General features: G+C 35.3%; 1 protein-coding gene across 18 annotated transcripts in view; it reads right to left on the reverse strand.

Moving 5' to 3' along the window:
- The window catches only part of LRRC4C (leucine rich repeat containing 4C), a 1,345,454-nt gene that overhangs the window by 874,570 nt on the left and 447,055 nt on the right, over nucleotides 1–23,829 (reverse strand). Inside the window, exon 1 of one of the 18 annotated variants that reach the window (XM_047427351.1) lies at nucleotides 5,411–22,735. The exons of the other annotated variants lie outside the window; for them this stretch is intronic. The gene's annotated coding sequence lies outside the window, so the exon portion shown is untranslated. Of the gene's footprint in view, nucleotides 1–5,410; nucleotides 22,736–23,829 lie in introns of those variants that run through there. 18 annotated transcript variants of the gene reach the window in all.

Consider the following 23,829-nt stretch of genomic DNA (forward strand, 5'->3'; position numbering starts at 1 on the left):
TGCAGTGGGGAGATCTCGGCCCACTGCAAGCTCCACCTCCCGGGTTCATGCCATTCTCCTGCCTCAGCCTCCCGAGTAGCTGGGACTACAGGTGCCTGCCACCACGCCCGGCTAATTCTGTTTTTGTATTTTTAGTAGAGACGGGGTTTCACCGTGTTAGCCAGGATGGTCGCGATCTCCTGACCTGGTGATTCGTGTGCCTTGGCCTCCTAAAGTGCTAGGATTACAGGCGTGAGCCACCGCGCCTGGCCTCATTTGTTTTCTTGATGGGTATTCACGACATACTGGCTGTTAAATATTTTGAACATATCACTCTTTTCTCTGCCACACCTTCCGTATAACCTATGCTGACTGATCATTTGTTTAAAGCCAGTTTTACCTTTTGACTTTAAGAGCCTCAAAGGACACACAATAAGCTCATTTATTTTTGATATCTTGAGCCTAGGACAGTTTCATGAAATATATGCATTGCTCATTAGACATTTTAAAGTTTGTCAGTAGTATCTTGAGTGCTTTTTTGAATGACTGTTCTGTGTCAGGCACTGTTCTAGGCACTTTAAAAATGTGAATCCTCAAACATCCTCCATGAAGTAGGTGCAAATGCTGTTCTCGTTTTTCAGATGAAAAAACTGCTGTTCACCATGGTTAAGGAAAATGCCTATATTCCCACTGCTAATAAGAGGCTAGGCTGGGAGTCAAAGCCAGGAACTCCCATTTTACAGCCCTCACTGACGTCTGTGTTCCACCGCAAAAAAATTAGAAAACAGTAAGAGTATGTCACTAGGTATTTATTCAGGAAGGATTTATACATAACATTCTGGTTAGAAGGGGAAGGCTTGAAGTTGATCTCACAATAAGGCTTACTATTTTTACTCAGTTGTTGTATTTATCTGGGTTGATTTTGTGGGTGGGGGAGATTTAATCTCCTCCCCCCAAAATATCTCTTGCTGCAGCTATAAGTTTTGCAGTGGTAGTTGTTTTCACACGTCAAAAATAATCAGAGAATCTTAGCATTTAATGTGTTTTAAAGGTACAGTCAGCCCTCCATATCCTTGCCTTCCCATCCACAGATTAAACCAACTGCAGTTTAAAAATATTCAGAAAAAAATAAAAAATAAAAAAATGCAGATAAAAACAATACATTATAACAACTCTTTCATAGTATTTATATTGTGTTAGGTATTATAAATAATCTAGAGATGATTTAAAGTATAAGGGAGGATGTGTGTAGGCTGTACTCAAATACTACACAATCTTATTTATATAAGGGGCTTGAGTATGCAGAGACTATAGTATCTGCAGGGTAAGAGGGTCTGGAACTAATCCCCCAAGGATACTGAGGGTGATTGTAATTTCTAGCTAGTCCAAATCACACACCTAACTTCCTTTTACAGTACTACAACTGGACCACTATCAGCACAGTAATAAAATCTATCAAAATATTTGAATAGTATGTCAAGTTTTATATATATATATATATATATATATATATATATATATATATATGAATATATGAGTATTCTTGACACATGTATAAGTCAAGTAATGATGCTGTTTGGTTCATAACATTTTGCTTTAAATAGTCACAACTATCCTACCTATGTGATAGTTATTATGCTTGGCCCCATTTTATATATGAGGAAATAGGCTTAGAAGTGTGCAACTTGCCCAAGTTCACAAAACTAAGCAGAACAGCTAGAATTCAAACTGAAAGAGTCTGAATCCAGACTCTGTGCATTAATCACTGGATCAGTGGTTCTCAATGCATAATTAATGGAACACTAGGGTTCCCCTAGATCCTCTTAGGGATCCCATGAGGTTAAAACTATATTCATAATGATACTAAGACATTCTTTGCCTTTTACATTGCGTTGACATTCTCAATGATGATATAATAGAGCAGTGGTAGATAAAACTGATGGTGCCTTAGCAGAAATCAAGAGAAGAACACAAACTAAATTAGCAGTCTCTGTATTTCAAATACATACACTGGTAGCAAAACAATGCCTTTTTTACTGCCGCAATGAAGGAGCAAAAAATGTCAATTTGATTAAAGTTTGACCTTTGAATATACATTTTTTTAAGTATTCTGTGTGATGAAATGTAAAAGAAGTGCTTTTTTTTATACAAGGAAGTACAAAGATTTTTTTCTGAAAAAAAATTGTACAGTTGATTTGTCAGATGGACTAGTTCCTGTTTTTTATGGAATACAATTTTTACTTTGATGAAATCATTGATATAGCAACTATGGTTTTTCAGAAATGGCTACCAACAGTCATTTTCTCAGAAAATAACAAAGTGAGTCTATTACAAAAAAAAAAAAAAGAAAATGGACATTATTTATCACTATGATAAAATGTGATCTTTCAAAGCAAAAAATCAGAATTGTGGAAGACTTGTATCCACCACAGTGAACCTGGCAGCTTCCCAATATGTAAAAAAAAAAAAAAAAAAAAAAAAATCTAATGAGTGACAGCATTAATAAATGTGATTTTTAATACTGTATAATAAAATTTGTCAACATTTAAACCTGTATAACTCAGTGAATCAATATTTTCCAAATGACTAATATATGATGTTATAAAATCAGGCATGAGTAAAAGATCAAAAGGCAAGTTAGGCTAATGCCTTATAATGTAACACAATGCTCCCCACCCTTTGTGGCATCAGGAGCCAGCTTCATGGAAGACAATTTTTCCACAGATCTGGGAGTGACTGTTGGTGGTAGTGGTTTCAGAATGATTCAAGCACATTACACTTATTTGTGCACTTTATTTCTATTATTACATTGTAATATATAATGAAATAATTATATAATTCACCAAAATGTAGAATCAGTGGGAGCCCTGGGCTTGTTTTCCTGCCACTAGACAGTCCCATCTGGGGGTGATGGGAGACAGTGACAGATCATCAGGCATTAGATTCTCATAAGGAGCATGGAACCAGAACCCAGATTCCTGGTATACACAGTTCACGATAGGGTTTGTGCTCCTTTGAGAATCTAATGCCCCTGCTGGTCCGACAGGAGGCAGAGCTCAGGCTGTAATGTGAGCGAGGGGAATTGGCTGTAAATACTGATGAAGCTTTGCTCTGCTTGCTTGCCTGCTGCTCACCTCCTGCTGTGCAACCCAGTTCCTAACAGGCCACCAACTGGTGCTGTGCAACCCAGTTCCTAAGAGGCCACCAACTGGTATAGGTCTATAGCCCAGGGGTTGGGGGTGCCTGATGTAAAAGATATGAAAATCTCATTGGTATGTTTTCATATTTCACATTGAAATTAACCTTTTAAAAACATCCACTTGTTCAGTTTTCACATATCACATATCCACAATTAACCGAAAAGGCAATTAAAATGTTGTCCTTCCCTTCAAATCACATATCTGTGTAATGGAAGACCATTTTCAGCATCTCAGATAAAAAACATATCCGAACTGACTGATGAGAATATATGAGAATTCAGGTCTCCTCTATTAAACTAGACAACTGTAAAATAATGCCACTCTTCCCACTAAATTTTATTGAAAATAAGTATTTTCATGAACTATGTTATTTATGTTAAGATATAATAGAATTACTATCATTATTTTAATATAAATTAATAACTTTTTAAATTTCTTACTTTCATTTTATTGACTGATATAAAAACAAAAGCATAAACAAAAGTGGTTTTTTTTTTTCGGATTCTCAGTATTTTTCTGAGAATGTAAAGGGCGGGATCTTAACATCAGCCATTCTGAGAACTGTTATATTTTCCTGACCCTTATCAGATAGGTTTTTATCTGTTTGGCTGAATATATCCAGTGATGAAGAATTCACTACCTCTTAAGAAACTTCATTACATTTTAAAACCAATGAAATTACGTTGTTTGATTTTTCCCCATTGATCCTGGTAACATGCTCTGAAGTCACAAAAAGGAAAGCTAATTCCTCTTTTTCAAGACAGACATTAAGAACTATAAGATTGCTACGACATTAATTTAAAATTAAACTATGGGTCTACTGTTTAGTATTCTCATTTAATATTTATTTCTCCATCTTCCTCATAACAATATTGAGCAATTTTGTCAAATGTCTCTCTGAAATCCTGACATACCATAGAAACCCTTTTATCCTGATCTGCCAGTACAGACAAGAACTTTAGATAAGAAGAATATTAAATAAGTGTGTCATTATGTTTTCCTTAGAGAAGTCTTCTTGGCTGCTGGAAATTACAATTTTCTGTCCTAACTGCTCACAAACGATCCATGACAAAGCTTGAATGAAATTTAACACACTTACTAGAGAACTATGGCAATTAAAATAAAATAATAATTTTAGTTGACTAAGTATTTATGAATCCAAGTTATTTTTTGTATATTTTCATTGCTTTTGTATACTTCATTTCATTTCATGTGCTTTGCAGTTGTACTGCAGCATCATCTTAAATGGGCTATTGAGGGAAATACTGACTTTGGAGATATCTTTTGTTCTACTTTCATTGAACTGTGCAATATTGGGCACATATAATTTTTTCTGTTTTTAAGTTTGCTTAATTATCAAATAAATGAACTTCAGTTAGATGATCTTAGAGGACCCCATGAAATTTATATTTGAACTGGCCCACACATAATATAGAATATATTTATGCTAATTTAAAAATTAAGAAAAGTTCTAGTGGAGTTATTGCTTGGTTCGTTCTTTAAAAAAACACCCGCTGAAGTCATCTGCTTATAACAAAACAGAAAATTAAAAATAAATGTTTTAATGAAAGGACACCTGCATTGAAACTTTTTAGGCACTCCTTTGATTGCTTTTTCACTTCCTTTTTGGCAGAGGAGACACAGTTAAAAATTTCAGGTTTGAATGTTTTTATCCCCTTCAGGGACTTTCTCAGTATTATTCCCATCTTTTTTTTTCCTTTTGACATCTAATATTTCTATTGCGAATATCAGACAGAAAAACATAGTGTTACACAAGTCACCAGAGACAAAAAGATAGAAAGTAATGACTTTACATTTTGGTTCATTTAACAGTGAATTCCTTGACAAGGAAGTGATACTAGAAACTTAGACAGCAACAGTGAGACAATGTAAAAGCATCATAGGAACATAACAATTTGAGGATGACAGGGTAGGAAGTCTTTGCACAAGCTGGGGAAGAAAGCTCAAAGTGATCTCAATAGCAAGAAACAATGAACCTTGGCACATTATAAAAGCTATTATCCCCTTGCTGTGGATAACGGGAACTGGATGGGGCATACTACTGTTACTTTCGGCTCCTTTTTGCTCTGACCCATTGGAATGTACTTTTTTTTTTTTTTTTAAGGAGTTCAATGTGTAGTGGAGTGTTACTCAATTTTTTTGAAAACTATTGATTTGCCATCCACACACTTTGGCGTGACACTTTGCATTTCAGAATTATGAAATCTTACCAATATCCAGGTGAGGTTCTTCTTTCATAAAATTCATGAGTGCGCCATGGAGCATTACTCAAATCCAAATAAATCCAAATCAATCACTCTTCTCTCAGCATTTCTATTACCTAAAAGTGAGGTGCAACATGATATCTGTGGCCAACTGGCAATTCAGACATTCCCCTGACGGAGAGTTGGCAATACTCTACCTAGAAGCATAAACACTGGCTGAACTGTAGCTAATGGGGGATGTGAAAGAAGTAGGAGCTTCACTCTGCTAGAGATGTGTTCATTTGCAATTAACATAGGGTGACGGTGATCCTTTCAGAATTTCTGGCTTGGAGGTTCACAATTTAGACTTGGACCTTGCTCCTACCCATAGTTGAAAACCCTGGTGATGTATGTTATATAATTTCCCCTACTACCAGAAATTCATCCAAATTGAGTTTTTCCCTAAACTGCATCTCTCTAAATTCTCATCCCAGAGGAAGCAAAAATTACATATTATGGCAACTAAATTTTCTACCTAATAATTATAAGTAATCTTTTAAAGCCAAAATATTAAGCCTTTTATCCCAACTTGGATGGGCTCTTTCCTTTACTCTCGCCGGTTTTTTCTTTACTGTCTCTTTAAGATTTCTCTCTCTATTTATACTTTTTTTTTAACTACTTCATCAACCTTTTCCCCCAATGACCTTTAATTCTTAAGCATCTTGTCCTTCCCCATTGTCCCCTCCACAATTTCTCTAATGTAATCAACAGGACCAGAAACTTGGCTCAACCATAAAATGTGACTTCTTTACACAGACACGCAGCAAAAATGGCCAGAGGTGAAATTCAGAGAGGACTGATACAGAATATACCTATGATTTGGAAGTCTTTGTTGTTGTCATTCTAACATTTCTCAAAAACATTCTAGAAACAACAACTTAATGTGTGTTTTTGAGAACTGAGTATTTTTTTCTCTTGATTGATTGTCAATGTTATATAAGCAGGTACACTAGGAATCAGAGTAACCAAGTGTGACTTTGCAGTTTGTGCCCAGCAAAATGTTTCTAAAAAATAAACCATGATGCATTGTCTGGTTTTGGGTCTTTGTGTCTGCAGAGCTATGTCATCCCAGAGGGAATACCTTGTTCTTATTCATATAAAAGTGCTTAAACAGGCTAGGGTACTCCTGCTGGGATATATAACAACTAATGATGCATTATGAACAACTGCTTACTAGATAGCTTCACTTTGCTACCTAATAGGCATCTCCAACAACATGGCTAAATCACCATGAAAATGGTGCTATTTTCCACCCATTTGCTCAAGCAAAGATCCTAGGAGATATCTTTCATCCTTTTCTTTTCCTTTCTAATCACGTCTAATCCATCAAAAGAGCTGGCAGTTCTAACTTCAAAACATATTTCCAAACTTTCTTCCCTTGATGTCTATTGCTATCTAATTTTAGATACCATATGTGTTTCTTATATGTTCTTATATGTAAGAAAAAAGACTAGGGAGTATCATATGTTGCTTCTTGTCTTTTTTCTTTCATATAAAAGCAGAATTCACCCAGCAGGTAGAATTATATTACAACTCAGCTTTCAAAAAGCTTAGGAGGCATCTCACTGCACTTGGAACAAATACCAAACCATTGGTCTGCAAGGCCCTTTCCATCAACTGGACCCAGCCTATATCTCCAAATTCATTTTTTAGTAACCTTTGTTTATCCCTGCTATGATTTGTACAACATACTGAATTTCTTGCCCAAAGAACACTGACTAAATCAAATGAAAGTCTACTCTAATATGAGTATTAGATATTTTTTGATACAGGATAGAAAGTCTAAGAAAACTTCACTTTTAAAATTAATTTATTACATAGTTCCACTGTTCATGAGATTTCCACAATAGGAATAATATTCTTTGTGTTCATGATTCTGAAGTATTCTTTGAAAATACAGGCAATGCTGTTGTTACAACAAAATAAAATAATTTGTAGTTACCAAATGAAATTTGTTTTCTTTATGTTAATGAGCATCAGAGGCATTAGGCAGATAAGAGAGGAATGACTGTGAGGCTGGGTAGCAGACTTACTTACTCTACACATGTGCTGACAATGGACCCTAATTTTCTCTGCTCTTGTCCCAGGCATGGTCCTAGCCCAGCAGTTCTCTTTGTGATTCTAGCTATTTTCAGGTTTTTCACTGCCTTAAAAAAAATAAAACTAATGAGAAAAAAATTGTCAAGGTTTTAGAAATACTCACTGATGGTTCTTATCTGTAGGCAAATATCAAGGAGCTAAAATCAACAGATAATGTGATGTGCTTTTGGAAGGAGATGAAATAATTATGTCTGACAAACAAAAGATAATTGATGGTACTATTCCTTGGATAGATAGGACCTGTAGTAGAGGTTGGCCACATGTGTCAGTCATTTTATGTTGCTATAAAGAAATACCTGAGGTTAAGTAATTTATAAAGGAAAGAGGTTTATTTGGCTCATGGTTCTGCAGAGTGTACAAGAAGCATGGTGCCAGCATCTGCTTCTGGTGCGGGCCTTAGGAAGCTTACACTTATGACAAATGGCAAAGGGGGAACAGGAGTGTCACATGGTCAGTGACAGAGCAAAAGAGGAGAGGGAGTACCAGACTTTTTAAAATGGCCAGCTCTCTCATAAACTAATAGAGCAATAACTCACTAATTACTGTGAGTACAGCACCAAACTATTCATGAGGGATCCGTCCCCATGAGCCAAACATATGCTACTAGGCCCCACCTCCAACACTGGAGATCAAACTTTTTTTCAACATTGGAGGGGATGAATATCCAAACTATATCACCCCAAGTGGGGTATAAAGTTCGGTGTTAGGCCTGCTGAGTTGCAGAGGCTTATGGTATATACATAAGTGAAGATATGCAACATAAAATTTTGATGTCAGGGTTTAGTTCTGCAATGATATCTGTGTGGATAATAGAGATTTGTGAATTATGAAAATATTAGGGATAGTTGAAAAACTGGAAGTTGAACAAATCAATAAATAAGAGAGTATATACTGTGAGAAGAAAAATAAGAGAGAGAAGAGATGAGGATACAAATGGAACTCCAGAGATTACCATTACCTATAATATGAGTGAAAAGAAGGAAAACTATAAGAGACAGTAAAGGGACATAACCACAGGAGAATGATGAGAGAGGCACTTCTGAAGCCAAAGGAAGAGAAAGTTTCCTGAGTTAGAGAGTAGCCAAAGATGTCAGATGTTGCAGAGACGTCAAAAGAGAAAATGACTCAATAGCTCCTTGAAGTGCATAAGTGATCTTTTTCAGAGCTCTTCCAGAGGATTAATAGGGATAGAAATCAGATTATCAATAAGGTGAAGAATGAAGGAAAGGTATGCAATTATTTTGAAAAAGTTAGTTGTGAAGAAAAGGTGATAGTTTGGGTTACATCTAGAGGTGGGCAAAGGGTCAATAAAGGAGTATTTTGTTTGTTTGTTTTTGTCTTTGTTTTTCATTAGGTAAAAGGAAGCAAGGTATGATTCCAAAAAAATAAGCAAGGAATGATGTGTAGGTCTGTAGCATGTAGGATGAGGAGAGCCTTCTAGATGAGAACAGGGAGGGCTGTTCCACTGTCACCAATGGTTATAAAGATTTACTAAGATGTGTTGTGAGATGTATATTAATATACAAACTTGCAGTTATTCACCTTCAAGGAGCCTTTTTAAGGTTTCTCACATCCTTACTAACCCTAACACAGGTTGGAGTAGGTGTTTCTTTGAGCTGTCCAAATAATCTGAATAAATATTGACTTAGTTTTCCATTAAACCATGATGACTGCTTTGAGAACATTACTCCTAGCATCGTAGCTGGGCATATAGAATGTTGACTGAAATAACTGATGAATTAATGATAAAGTATACTGCAGAAAAGAGAGGTCGAAAACCAGATTCAGGTTTTCTGAATTCAGGTTTCAATAAATTCTAAATTTATTGTTACTGTAAGAAACTAATTCTGAACCTAGTATTTGATACAAGGGAATTATAAACAAATATGTATATATTTTTTAAAAATATTAAAATTGATCTGCACATTCTGCACATGTATCCCAGAACTTAAAAAAAAAAAAAGGACATTCTTCCATGTAACCACAGTCTCACTCAGGAAATGTGACATTGGTGAAATATCATTATCTAATCTAGAGATGTTAGGATTAAAAAATTGTCACAATAATGCCATTCTAATATACAGTTCTAAATCTGGGATCTAATAAAAAATCTCAGACTGTAAAAAAAATTAAAATTGATACCCAACTTGACTGCACTTTATGGATTTATACATCTCTGGGGTTTTATTTTGTTATTTTCTCCATGCAATATAAGGATTTTCCTCTTTGGAGACAGGAAAATGGATTACATAATTATTCAAAGTCCTGATTAGGCCTATGACTCTATGATCTACTGATATGTCCTAATTCAACTGCTCCATGAACATACCCAATCACAAACTAGACACGCATTCAAATTCTATCAGCTTTCTGTATCATCTTTTTGGACAACAGTTTTGCTCCACTGACTAGCTCCCCAGGTCAAAATTCATCACCTGCTGCAGTAGAGGATTTCAGTAACAAAGGATTGCAGAAATGCCATTATAGCAGCCACATATAATGTACTGAGGAGAGATTTTTATACTTCTTTTGGATTTCTGGGGCGTTGTAATTTTCCCCAGCAACCCAACCCAAATGATTTGAAGAGATACTTAATATCTCCCTCCTTTCCCGCATCATCTATGTATGTATTAAATTCTTAAATGAGAGTGCCAACATGACATGAAGAATAAATGTGGTGACTCCAATTCCCCTCTCAGCTGGCAGGAGTTGCATCAATAAAATCACTTAAGGTATTCAGAAACATGTGGAGTTTTCCATAGGAGACTGCAGATCGATGAACACACAGAACATGTCCTTGTCACCCCTGCTGCGGTGCCTTTTCTTCTCAGCCTGATGACACGTCAATAAAGCTGTCTGAGTCTCTGGCCACTGTTACAGACTGTAAATGTCTCCTGGTATTAGTTTGCTGAACAGGATTCCCTGCACACCTCGCTCACACTGTGTCTAGCCCCCACCTCTGTAGAGATTTCTAACTCCTAAGCATGGCACACTTAAATTGAGATGGAAACTTTGACAAAGGTATCCACATTTTAAAAAAATTAAAACTCTACTACGGACAGTCTGTAATTTGTAGCATTTCCAAAATTATGTATTTCCAAAGTGATGGCAGAATTCTTTAAAAATAATTTCTAACATAAATTATTTGTTTTTGTCTTAGCTCAAATATTAATATGCAAAACCATTATTTAAAAACTAAGCTCTGCAAATTAAGTGCCTAAAACATGGGCTCTGATTCACTCTTTTTTCTTAAGGGAACAACCGTCCCATAGGATGGTGAAATAATAATTTAGTTAAGAATAAATCAAAAGTACTACATTTGCTACTCTATATTCAGATCAATATTTTTTTTAAATCAAAATATTGGCTAGAAACCTGCCATATGCTGGACACTATGTGAGTGAGAAAACACATGGCAACAAGCAATGAAAATATATCATGGCAAGTATCATTTACTTAGGTAAGCCTAAAGTTTTTTGGAAGCACAAAATAAGGAATACCCGAGTTTCCCTAGCAGAGCGTGAAAGGCATTGGAAAAGAGGTAACATTGGACCTGGTGCTTGAAAGATGAATAAGAGTTTCCTGTGACAGAAGGGAGAAAGGCAACAAAGAGGACGCTACATGCAGACACATCCAGCATGAAAATAATGTTACCTTCATGGAAATGCAAGCAGCATAGAATGGCTGGAGAACAAGGGTGAGAAAACATTAAGCTATGGAACAGAAAAGAGAAGGTTGTAAAAAACCTTGCATGCTAAAGAAAAAAACAATTAAAAAAATTATTCTGTAGGCTCATAGTTCCCATGCCTCGCTCATCATCAGAATAATTTGGTTGAGTATTTTAAAACAACAGATTATTTCATTACAATTACAAAGATTCTAATTAATAAGTGGGGCTTGAGTTCCAGGAATATATTTTGAAAAACTCCAGACATAATTGTGATACTCATTAGAGTTGACAGTCATCCCATGCGGAGAATGAAAAGATTTTGAAAGGCTTACAGGAAGGGAGAAAATATGTTATAATCCATGTTTAATTATTATCAATTCTCTAGGTAAGTAAATAAACAAAATGCCTATTAGAATAGAGGTCACAAATATGTGGCCCATAGATTGGTTTTACTGGATGTACACAGAATCGGTATATTCTCTCTGCATGGGCATGTGTGTGTATGTGTGTGCTTGTATATGTTTATTAATTAGTTACCTCTACTTCATAATGTAAAAATTTTACATAATAAAATTATTTTCCTAGTTCCCTTGTGAAGTTAGGTCTTATGACAACACTGGGCCTATTGATCGACATGGCAACAATTGGCTGGAGCACCCTATGGATTGGACATGCATCCTACTGGCTGCTCAGCCCTCACTGTTGCCAGTTTTACTTTAACTTGCTTTACTCATTCGTCTCCCCGACTGGCCAGCGTAGGCATTTGAGATTGTAATGAATGGGTAGTGGATATTATATTTAAAATGGACAGTACTAATCTTGTCTATAATTTAGTAAGCCTACTTTTGGCAGAGAGAAGATAAGTCGAAATGTGCCAAAGTCCCATAGTGCATTGAGATGTTTATTTTGGAATTTTGAAAAAATAGTATATTGGAGAAATAGGGAAAATTAACATTTATTGAGCAATTACTCTGTGCCAAGGACTGTGCTAAAAGATTTAAATATATGCCATCAGTTAATCAGCGTAGTAATCTAAAAGTATAGAAAAATAAATTATATGAAAGACAGAGTTATTTTATTGCTAAATTTACAGTAGTTGGTATAATACCTGGTACAAAGGAGGTGCCCAATTAATATTTTTGACTGATTAAAAAAAAGATAAATCACAATTGGTAATATTGACACTCTGAGGTGCTACAAAGATCATATAGGTACCACAATTTTTAACTAGAATTGACCTATCTCTTGGCCTTCAAAACCTGGGAGTCTCCAGTGTCCAGTATCGGTTTCCCCTTTTCAGTGAAGGATTCCTCAGAAAAATGAATCATGTCTTAAGATCGAGCAAGAAGGAGACCATTGCCATAAATCAGTTAAATTTCTAACCAAATCCTTTTGTGCAATATCTTGTTCTCTCTTCTTTCAGTCTACATAAATAAACATCTTATCTTCTTAAGACATGCAAATAAGGGAGTTGGTGACAAGTGAAGTTAATAGAGAAACATGATAGAGTTCCAGACTATCAGGATCCCTGTGAGACCACATTTGAAAGTCTCTGAACATGGCATACTCTTCTCAGCCTGTCTTAAATCTGGTCTGTTTTGTCTGACAAGCTAAGAGAACTCTACATAATTAAAAAAAAAAATCCACCCACATTGCAAATATCTGCTGAATTTTAACGCAACCCTTAGTTGACCCAAGATATTAATCAAGTGAAATTAAATTTCTGGAAAAGACCTCGTTTATTGATGAGATGATTTAGCATAGCTTAGCTTGGCTACTCTTCACCTTGAACATGGATTAGGCAATGCCCTATTTGAATCTCATTCCAAGGTTCAAAACTTTCAGGTCAATGGGCTCAGCTTTCTTCTGATGGTCTGTGACATTTTTTTTTTTTTTTGTACCATCCAGGATTCCTACCGACACTGTAGATATTTATGTTACTGAGATAAATTGTCCTTTACTAAACATGTGGTTACATTAAACGAGGGAGTCAGGCAACTGCCTAGATTTATTTAGGGAGTTTTTTTCCTCTTTATTTTAGTTTTTCCATAATCAGAAAGCATTTGTACAAATTCTTGGAAGGGCAGTGGAGATTTACCTTAATTCTTCTTCGAAACCCCTTTTTTGTATATGCTGAAGTTAAATATTAAAGACAAATAATTTAACAGTTGTTATCCAATAAACAATTTCAATTTAAGTAACAGACCTCTGATGGAGTCTCATGGAGTAAAGAGGACTATGCATGTAAGCAATCCATAAACTTATATTGAGAAGTGACTAATTTGGTGGTCCCTACCTTGCCAATGGTTTTTTGTTTTAATAAACTTAAGGCCATTGTGTTAACATAGGTTGACACAGAGCTCTCTGAGTGTTGTTCTCAAATTACCCATCATCCATCTTGCCATTGGATCCACATCCTTCTGCTGAGCAGCTCCTATTAAAATTAGAGCAAATCTCAAGGGAAGCCAGGTTTCTAAGAAGAGGCTGTGTTTCTGGGCAGTCATCAGACAGCATCATATGTCCCACACTTGTATCTCTGTTTTTGCTACCAACTTTATCAAGAGCTTCTCATTACATGGTAGGTAGTGAGAAAGAGCTAAAAATCACCAAATTAAGGCCAGAATTACAAATAATGGCATTGTATTTTATTCATGCTGAGCAATTTAACAATTTAGTAGTTTTGAGTAGTAGCATGCCTTAATATTTCAGTGCATGGATAAGTGATTTATGTTCAAAGTAAGCCTCATGACCATCTAGCATCACAGAAGAAAAGTAGAAAGTCAATATGCAGTGTGTATGACAGCCACATGGTAGTATGGAGAAATGCTCAGGATATGTGTTAAGTGAAAAAAGCAGAAGATAAAGCATACGCCTTTGATGGTTATACCTTTTAAAATATGCATAGAAAAACAAATGCAAGGTGGTACTTTAAAATATTCATTTGAAATGTTACATTGTAGTTATGTATAATGTATTCTGTTATACATTATACATGTGTAATATTTATGTTACATTATAGTTATGTATGTGTATAGTTATCATAGTTAAATATATTACTTCTCCGATGAAAACATTGAAAAGTGACAAATATAAAACAAAACAATATGCAAAAGATGATTATTTTGCCAATGAAGTTGTAATTTTTAACATGAGAACTGTAAACTAAATAAAAGCACCATTATACAAGTTAAAAAGTAAAATACAGTTCTGAAAAAATGTTTTCTTGATATTTCTTTAATTTTTAAATACCATTTTTTCAAAGGGAGTAATCATAATTCAATTTAATGAAAGCAAAAATGTCTATATGTAAAGTAAAGCAAGATCTTGGTTGAAGGAAAAAGGAAAAATACAAGACAGACATGGAGGCAGGTATGACTATAATTCAAATAACATACTAAATGTTAACAAGATAGTATTCATATAAAGAAAGGGAAATAAAGGACATTCAGACTTTGCCTCTTTTGGAAATGCTACATTCACAGATACCTTGGGGAATACGGTATGGAGGCTACAACAAGGTTATTTGAGATCCATTTGAGATTATGTCAACCGACAATTATGCTGAGGGATTGACAAGATAAAAAGGCACTATTTTTTCCCATATCCAATTCCTCTGATATGCTTCACTAAATGCATAAAGACAGAGACAAAACATGAAGGAAAAATATTTATACATTTTTAGGTTTGTGAATAGTTTCAAGGGAGAGAAGAGACATCATGAGGTCATCTGGTATGCCTTCATAAATACTTTAGAGTATTATTCACTGTGCACAATTTGCAGTGCCCTTGGCAATCCAAATACATTTCCTTTCTTTTGCTGAAGACCAAGCAGGTCTGCCTGGCTCTGAGGGGTACCTTACATCAGGGTGTTTTATGCATGAGATTCCTGATTGAAAAGAGCCAATAGAATAAAGCTGAGCAGAATCCTTGAAAGAGTGAGAACTCCAAAGGTCACATTCCAAAGTCTAGTGAATAAAGAAAGAGTGTGCTTATGGGCAGAAAATGGGGACAAGTGTCAAGGACAAAGAGAAGACAAAACGGCCCAGTGGATAGAAAACAGGAAGTTTTCTTTGAGAGGCTATGGTTACAAAGAGGCATGAACACCCCATTGTTCACTTCTATTGTCAATAGGCCTGTGGTAGGTTGGCACATCAGACTAGCTAAAAAATACATTAGGGAGGGAACTTGTCACATTTAGCAATGTCCTCTTTTCAATGTCCTCAAGACTTACTCCCGGTCTTAGGCAGTTTCAAATTCATAGCAAGCAATGTTACAAGCATCAAATTTAATGGCCCCTGTATCTGTTGCTAGTTTTCATTATGACCTGCCTTCCATCTTTCCTGAACTTTTGCTATAACAAGACCATCTGTCTTTTTTTGGTTGGTAGGAAGTACATCAACATTATCAGCATCCATCTTTTTCCCTCTGCCCTGTCACACCACCATGCCAGAGATACATGAGAAAGGGTTAAAATTTCTACAAAAATGCATGATTCCTAAAATAGGCTAAAAGAATAAAAATGCTACCATCTAACACATTAGATTGATTGCCTTAAATGTAAAAATTTACGTATGTAACTATCTCTTTTCTTAGATGATATATTCTTCTAGAGAATGCTCTATGCTTTATTCAATTTCACATCACCATGACCTACATAGCACAGTAGTTGACTTATTGTAGGTAAACAATGAGTGAATGGATGAATGCATCAGTGTTCATTCACATAAATTACTTTGTGTATTTCTTGACAAAATAAAGCAGAGGGGGCACATGTTCTCAGGACCTCCTGAGGCTGTGTCACAGAAAAAAAAAATTAAACAGAGAATTAAATGTATGAATTTTGAAGCCCCGGAGGTATACACTACCAATGGCTCTTATTAAAATCACGTGGCATTTTAACCATGCAATCCTAACTATCATGGATGCTAAAAGATGGTTAGAAAACAGAAAAAAATGCTGGGAAAATCAGCTTAGTTCTTCAGTTTTTCTGTTGTTGTTTTTATAACTTTCATTATTATTATTATAATTATTACAGAATTCAGGATTCTATAGTCAGTCAGATAACATGAAACCACTTAAAATGAGTGTTAGAAATCTGGCTGGCACCTCCCTCCCCCTGATGTGATGTTTGTATTTATAGATTCACATGCACATCATATGCCTACTGATATGGTTTGGACATTTATCCCCTCCAAATCTCATGTTGAAATGTAATCCCCAGTGTTGGAAGTGGGGCCTGGTGGGAGGTGTTTGAAGCATGGGGGCAGATGCCTCATGAAGTACCCTCCCTTCAGTAACAAGTTCATGCAAGATCTGGTTGTTTAAAAAGGAGCCGCCCCTGGCTGGGCGTGATGGCTCATGCCTATAATCCCAGCACTTTGGGAGGCCAAGGTGGGTGGATCGCTTAAGATCAGGAGTTTGAGACCAGCCTGAGCAACATAGTGACACCCAGTCTCTACTAAAAATACAAAAATTAGCCGGGCGTGGTGGCACATGCCTGTAATCCCAGCTGCTCGGGAGGCTGAGGCAAGAGAATTGCTTGAACCCGGGAGGTGGAGGTTGCAGTGAGCCGATATCATGCCACTGCACTCCAGCCTGGGTGACAGAGTGAGACTCCATCTCAAAAATAAAAATAAAAATAAAAAAAGCTGCCCCTGGCGCCTCTCACTCTCTGTCTTGCTCTCTCTCTCTCGCAATGTGACCTGCTGGCTTCCCTTTGCCTCCTGCCATTATTGCAAGTTTCCTGAGGCCCTCACTAGAAGCAGATATTTGTACTATATTTAGTGTACAGCCTGCAGAAGAACTAGCCAAATAAACTTTTTAAAATAAATTGCCCAGTCTCAAGTATTCCTTTATGGCAACACAAACAGACTAACACAGATACATTTCCTAGTGTGAGAGAAAACACTTCTTAATAATGTTTCCTGGTCCCTTCAGGTACAGAGTAGAGACTGGACTGTGAAATTTCCTCCCTCCCTCCCTTTCTCCCTTCCTCCCTTCCTCTCTTCCTTCCTTCCTTCTCAGTTATTTAAAGTAAACTAGTCACACAATTTTATATCTTAGCCAGAAAATTTTGAAAAACAATTAGAAGAAGAATTTTCAACATATGTTTCACACACAAAAAAATGCTTTAAGCATTCTGCAAAATTTAGTGGTGTTGACATATTTGGTTTTTATGCATCCATGAAAGCTATGACTGAGTGTGTCATTCATAATCCCAATGTGAGTTTACTTTTTCACTCATTCAAACAGCTACATTCTTCTGATTGCTTCAGTTTTAAATTAAGTAATTGCTGTAACATTTATTTTATAAGAAGACAGCTTTATAAATCACTAATCTAAAGCTAGTTAGTAAGATAATTTGAGCTGGCTGTCAGAGTTGCAGAGTCTTACCCCAGTGCTGTGGCAACCACATAATTTGGCCATTTCACAAAGTTAGGAATACATCTCTCATCTATTCATCTCTATTGGCCACTCCCCAATTAGCTACCATAATTCATTAGCATGTTTAACTTTCAAGCAGATGTCATTTGAAAAGGACACAGAGGACAGAGCCTCTAGTGATGACTAGGCCTTCATTTTCTTTATAATCTTACATATTTGTCTAGCTTAGTGTGTATTTCAGTTCTCCATCAGAATAATGGCAAATAGAAATATTGTCCCATGTAACAAGACAATAAAGGAAAAGGAGAAAGAAGAGGCAGAGAAAAAGAAGGGGGAAAAGTAGAAAGACCAAAAGAGAGAGACTAGAGAAAGAAAAAGCTTCAAGGATTAAATAACACTGGAAATTCTTTGTATTTTGCAATGTCTTATATTCAATGTTATCAAACCTACCTAACATGCACAAATTCATATTTTCACAGTATTTAACATCCAGAATAGTGTTTTTATATTTATTCATAGATTTCTTCTTAAAGAAATCCTCAAAGGTAAGAAAAAGATTGTGATTTTTCATCTTACAAGGTAGAAACGAAAGCATATGATTAAATGATTGCCCCAAAGGCACTGAGCAAATCAGTAGAATGAGAGCTGAATATATTAACTCCTACCACTTTCATAACTTCATCTCTAGTGTTGTCATTTTGAATAGATGACTATGATCACATTAGTCACAAACTTACATTTAAAAATATGTTTCAAAAACCCTGTTGCCAAAAAATGCAAAAGTTCAAAAACAAGTAAAAATCTAGAAAATATTTATATTACGTTCCATCGAGAGAGAATCAAAAATCTAGAAAAAAACAATAGCTCAATGGAAAAATAGGCAAAGGATAAACAGGCAGTTTAATTTACAGAAAAGGACATTGAAATAGCTTAAAACCATATGAATAGATGCTCAAACTCACTAATTATTCTGTAAAATGCAAATTAAACAACAAAAATGCTTTCTTTTTTTTTTAAACTTTTCAGATTGCCAAGGATTATACAATTTGGCAAGAATGTGAGGAAACAGACATTTTTATATATTGTTCTGGAGAGTATTTGGCAATATCTATCAAAATTTTAATGCACATATGTTTGAATGTAGCAATACCACTTCTAGGAATTTCTCCTATAGATGAACACCCACACATATGCAGAGATATATGTACAAAGATGACCGTGGTAGCCAAGTAAGTGTCCATCAGCAGAATACAAGGCAAATCCATGATGTCATTGAACAGGTGATGTATAATGGTGATATTGTTTTTAAAAAGGCTTTCTAAATAGATTTTTAAAAATGTAGAACATTATTTAGCCATTGTCACCATTTTGTGTAAAAACAAAATATTTAACCCATCTATGTGTTGATTACTCTGAAATTTAGACATCTAGTCATAATCTCTTCCTGAACTCAAGGTTCATATCCAACTTAATACAGCTATTACAGAATGCTTAGTGTCTGTCCGCCTACTTCCCAAAGCCTACTCTGATGATGACTTTCTGGTTCCAATAATTAGCAGCACTATCCATCTTGTTACTTAAATCCAATCTCCATCTTATTCTTTCATATTCCATTTTCTTTCATATCCCAGTATTCCATATTCTTCCATTTTCTTTCGTATTCCAATATTCCATATTCTTTCATACTTCATTTCCAATCAATTAGCAAGTACTATTGCCAAAACATACCTAAGAGTAGCCCACTTGAGTGTCTTTTCAGTAATCATACCCAATTCCAAGCCACCAGCCTCTTCCCTAGACTTTTGCCTCAAATGCTTTTCTTCTTCTTTGCTTTCTCTACAATCCATACCACATACAACAGGTAAAGTGATGTTTTTAGACATAAATGTTACTTCTTGCCTAAAATCCTCTAACATTGTTCCATTACATTTAGAACCACCCTAACTCTTTAACTGGCCTACAAAACCCTACATTATCTGTCCCCCGTCTCTCTGACTTTAACGCCTACCACTCTTCCTTGCAAGTTCATAGAAAATTTGCTACAGGGTACACAGTAATCTGGTAACAGATTGATACTAAAGAGAGCTAGTTCGATTTGTTGAATTTTCAGAATTTACAGCCCATACTGATTCCATCATGGTCCACTCACTCACACTTGTATTCTGCAGACCTCCTTCTCAGTTTTAACTGCTGTTCTCAGGTTGGCCCACCATGTTTCCAAAGAGTCTTTTGTGATGAGTTTGAGTGGTTTTCCTAATCTCAGCACCATTAACAGATATGCTATTATCATCCTTTCCTTCCTCCCACCTTGAAGACACCACAGAGGTTTTGTATCTGCCAGTGGTTTACTTATACCAACTTGTATTTAGGATTTGGAGTCTAGTTTGTCACTTAGTTGGGTGGTAAATTTTCTTAAGTATTGGGTTTTTCTGCCCTAGTTCCTTTTTATTTTATTTTTAATTGGAGGCATTAAGATTCAAAAACTCCTTTATGGCTCCCCCATCATTTCCAAATCCTCTTCACAGTAACCTCAGGATACTAATTCTGGGTATGATTTGCCTTTTTAATGATATAAATTATGCATTTGTGTCTTCTTCAATTGAACTATTTTTAAAAAGGGGAAAATCTCAACAGAAAGTAGAATTTAAAAATTTATATGAAAGATAACGCCAACTTTTAAAGACATTGAAAGAAAGAAAAATGGTATAGCCAAATAGCAAGAGAAGAATTCTTTTTAAATTTATCTGATTTAGATAGATATTTGGAAAGCTAAATAGCTTCTTTGTTTTGATCACACACACATATTTTCTGATATATGTAGTAAATTTGACATTGTTTTGAATATATTTATTCAAAATGTTTAAAACATATATATTTTGAATATATATATATGTTTTGAATATATATATCCAAAACAATGTGTGTAAATTTTTCGAGTATCATTATCTAGTAAAATTAGGGAAGAAGTTAAAGAAAGAATTCTCTAAACATATTGGATCTGAGATGGTAACTAAATGCTGAAAAGAAGACTGACAGCGAATGAAGCAAGAATGGATTAGAGACACTGATGTTTTGTTCGAAGAAAACAAAATTAGGAGCAAGAGGTTGTGAGCTTTGCTCTCCCATTAACAGTTGTGTAGCCACAGGCAAATCATATAGCCTATTGAGGTTATAGTTCTCATGTATAAATTGACAAATTCAAGAAAAAAAAATCAGAGAATCTGGGTGCCTGCAGAAGCCTCAGTCAGACCCTCAGGCATGCTTAGTTTAGCTATCATAAAACAAGCTGAATCACTTACATATATTTTGCATAAAATACATAGTTTCTCTTTAAAAAATCAGAAAGTTTCAGATCAGAGCCATAGACTATAACTGGGTGACTACTACCCTTTTGGAGAGGCTACACATTTTCCAGTTTATCTCTATTATGGGTTGAATTGTGTTCCCCCAAAAAAGATATGTTGAAGTAGTCCTAATCCCCAGGACTTCAAAATGTGAATTTGTATAGAAATAAGGTTTTAACAAACGTAATCAATTTATAATGAGGCCATTAGGGTGGACTCTAATTCACTAAGTGGTGTCTAAATAAAAAGGGGGGAATTTTGACACAGAGACAGAAATGCAAAGAGGCAAGATGATGTGAAGACACAGAGGGAGAAAGTCATGTGACTATAAGACAAAGAATGCCAAAAATTGTCAGCAAACACCAGAAGCTAGAAGAGTCAAGGAAGGATGTTCCCCAAAGCTGTCAGAGAAAGCATGGCCCTAATGACACGTGATTACAGACTTCTAACCTCCAGAAACTTGAAATAACACATTTATGTTATTTTAAGCCACCCAGTATTTGGTACTTTGTTATAGCAGCTCTAGGAAATTAACACAATTCCAATATCCAGTTGATACTTGTTAGTCACCTTTGCTGCCTTTCTAGGCCATGCAGTCTTTTGAGTACTTTGTTTTTTAAATTAAATGAATTTTATGATGTCATCTTGCTTTCATAATTCGCGTTTTCTGTTTAGATTAAAAAAATCATTTTAAAACATAGCATCTTAAAATAAGCAGTGAAAATATACCAGGCATTCAAATGCTGAACTGAGAATACTTTTATACACAGGCAAAGCCCTTGGATAATTTTGTGTAAATAGAGCAAGAAAGTGGAGTTGACTTGGCAACAAAGGATGTAGCCAGAAGGATAACATGCTGTGAAACAATGCTGTGCCTGAGAAGTTCTCCAAAAGAGGCTTAACTACTGCTTTATAAGGTCCTATGTTGGCCATACTGTGGCTCAGTCTAGGCTAAGCAAGTGAAATCATATTTTTGAGAGAGATTAGAAAGTAAATAAATGGTGGCAACTTCCTTAAGAGTTGAGTCCTCCACTGAGAATCAGGACTTTCCTGCCCCATTGCTATCAGCACATGGCTATGTCTGTGGCTGCTACCTGTGCAGGAATCCAGTGAACATATTGCAAATTCAGTAACAGGTTGACTCTTGGAAATGAAACATAAACTTGCCAAATGAGTCTTGGATGCTCTTACTTTGTCAGATGTAAGGATTGAAAATATTGGAGCCCAAAGGAAGGTCTCATAAAAATAACATAAAATGGACAATTAGAAGTCTAATGTTTCAGCCCTCTGTCTGGCTGTTACTGGCTTGAACAAGTCATTTGACCTCTTTGGGTATATACACTATAAGAGTAACTACATTTTATAAACTATAACTACAATTTACATCGCTCCTATTCCATAGATATCCAACCAGAGGAAATATCTGAAGTTGAATTGTAAACTATATAACATGATATACAACAAATTTTTATTAATGTTGCTGTTGTTTTCATGATCATCACCATCATCATCATTATCACTACTACTTCATAGATATTTACCTAATGGGGGCTAACACCATTATTCACTATAATGTTATTTTTTTCAAGTTAATCTGAAACTCCAAGATTAGGCTTTCTTCAGATATGAATAAAAATGGATCAAATATATAGTACATCTTCTGCTAATGGTCAGCTAAATATGAATACTAATTGTTCTAGTGTTTTGTAGCTGGTTGGGTCTTTCAATCCAATGAAAATTATTAAAATGGATTCTGCAACTTTTATTCTACTTTATTTTCTGTTTTTGTTATTTGCACTATAAAGTAAATAAAATCGTGTTAGTTTGAAAAGATAAAACAGTACTTGCTCTTAACCTGCCCTTTAACAAAGGGTGTATGGTTATTATAGAAATATTATGCAACATGGGTACATTTCTAGTGTCTCAGGGCAACTGGCCACGTACTCCAAATTGCCCCCTGAGACATAGTGAGTGAAGTAATGGTTATGGAGTCACTAAGCCCGGGTTTCTATCTAGACTCCATCATTTACAAGCTATGTAGCCTTTGTGGGTCATTAATTCCTGAAAATCTCTAGTTTGCACTTAAAATTAAAAAAAAAATCATTCTATGTTATATATTATATTATATTATATTATATTATGTTACATGTATTTTTGAGATGGAGTCTTACTCTGTCACCCAGGCTGGAGTGCAGTGGTGTGATCTTGGCTCACTGCAACCTTTGCCTCCTGGGTTTTTTTTTTTATTGATACTTAATAGATGTGTATATTTTTTCAGGGACATGGGATAATTAAATATAATCCTATAATTTGTAAAGATCAGCGTTCTTGGGATATCCATCATCATAAATATTCATACTTTCTTTATGCTAGAAACATTCTAATTATTCTCTTCTACCTATTTTGAAATGTACAATAGATTACTGTAAACTACAGTCACTCTACTGGTCTGTCAAATAGTAGCTCTTATTTATTTGATCAAACTCTATAGCTATACCCATTAATTAATCTTTCTTTATCCTCTTCTTTCCCCTACCCTTCTCAGCCTCTGTTAACCACCAGTTTACTCTCTCTCCATAAGATATACTTTTTTAGTTGGCACATAAGAGTGAGAATATGTTATATTTGTTATTCTGTGCTTGGCTTATTTCACTTAATATCATGATATCCAGTTCCATCCATGTTGCAGAAAATGAAAATATTTTATTCTTTTTTATGGCCAAATAATATTCAATTGTGTATATATATATCACATTTTCTTTATCCATTCATCCACTGATTAGGACTTACACTGATTCCATATTTTGGCTATTGTGATTAGTGCTGCAATAAAGGTTGGAGTGCAGATATCCCTTCAGTATCTATATTTCCTTTCTTTTGAATATATG

The sequence above is a fragment of the Homo sapiens genome, chromosome 11, assembly GCF_000001405.40.
Source record: "Homo sapiens chromosome 11, GRCh38.p14 Primary Assembly".
NCBI classification, from domain to species: Eukaryota; Metazoa; Chordata; class Mammalia; order Primates; family Hominidae; genus Homo; species Homo sapiens.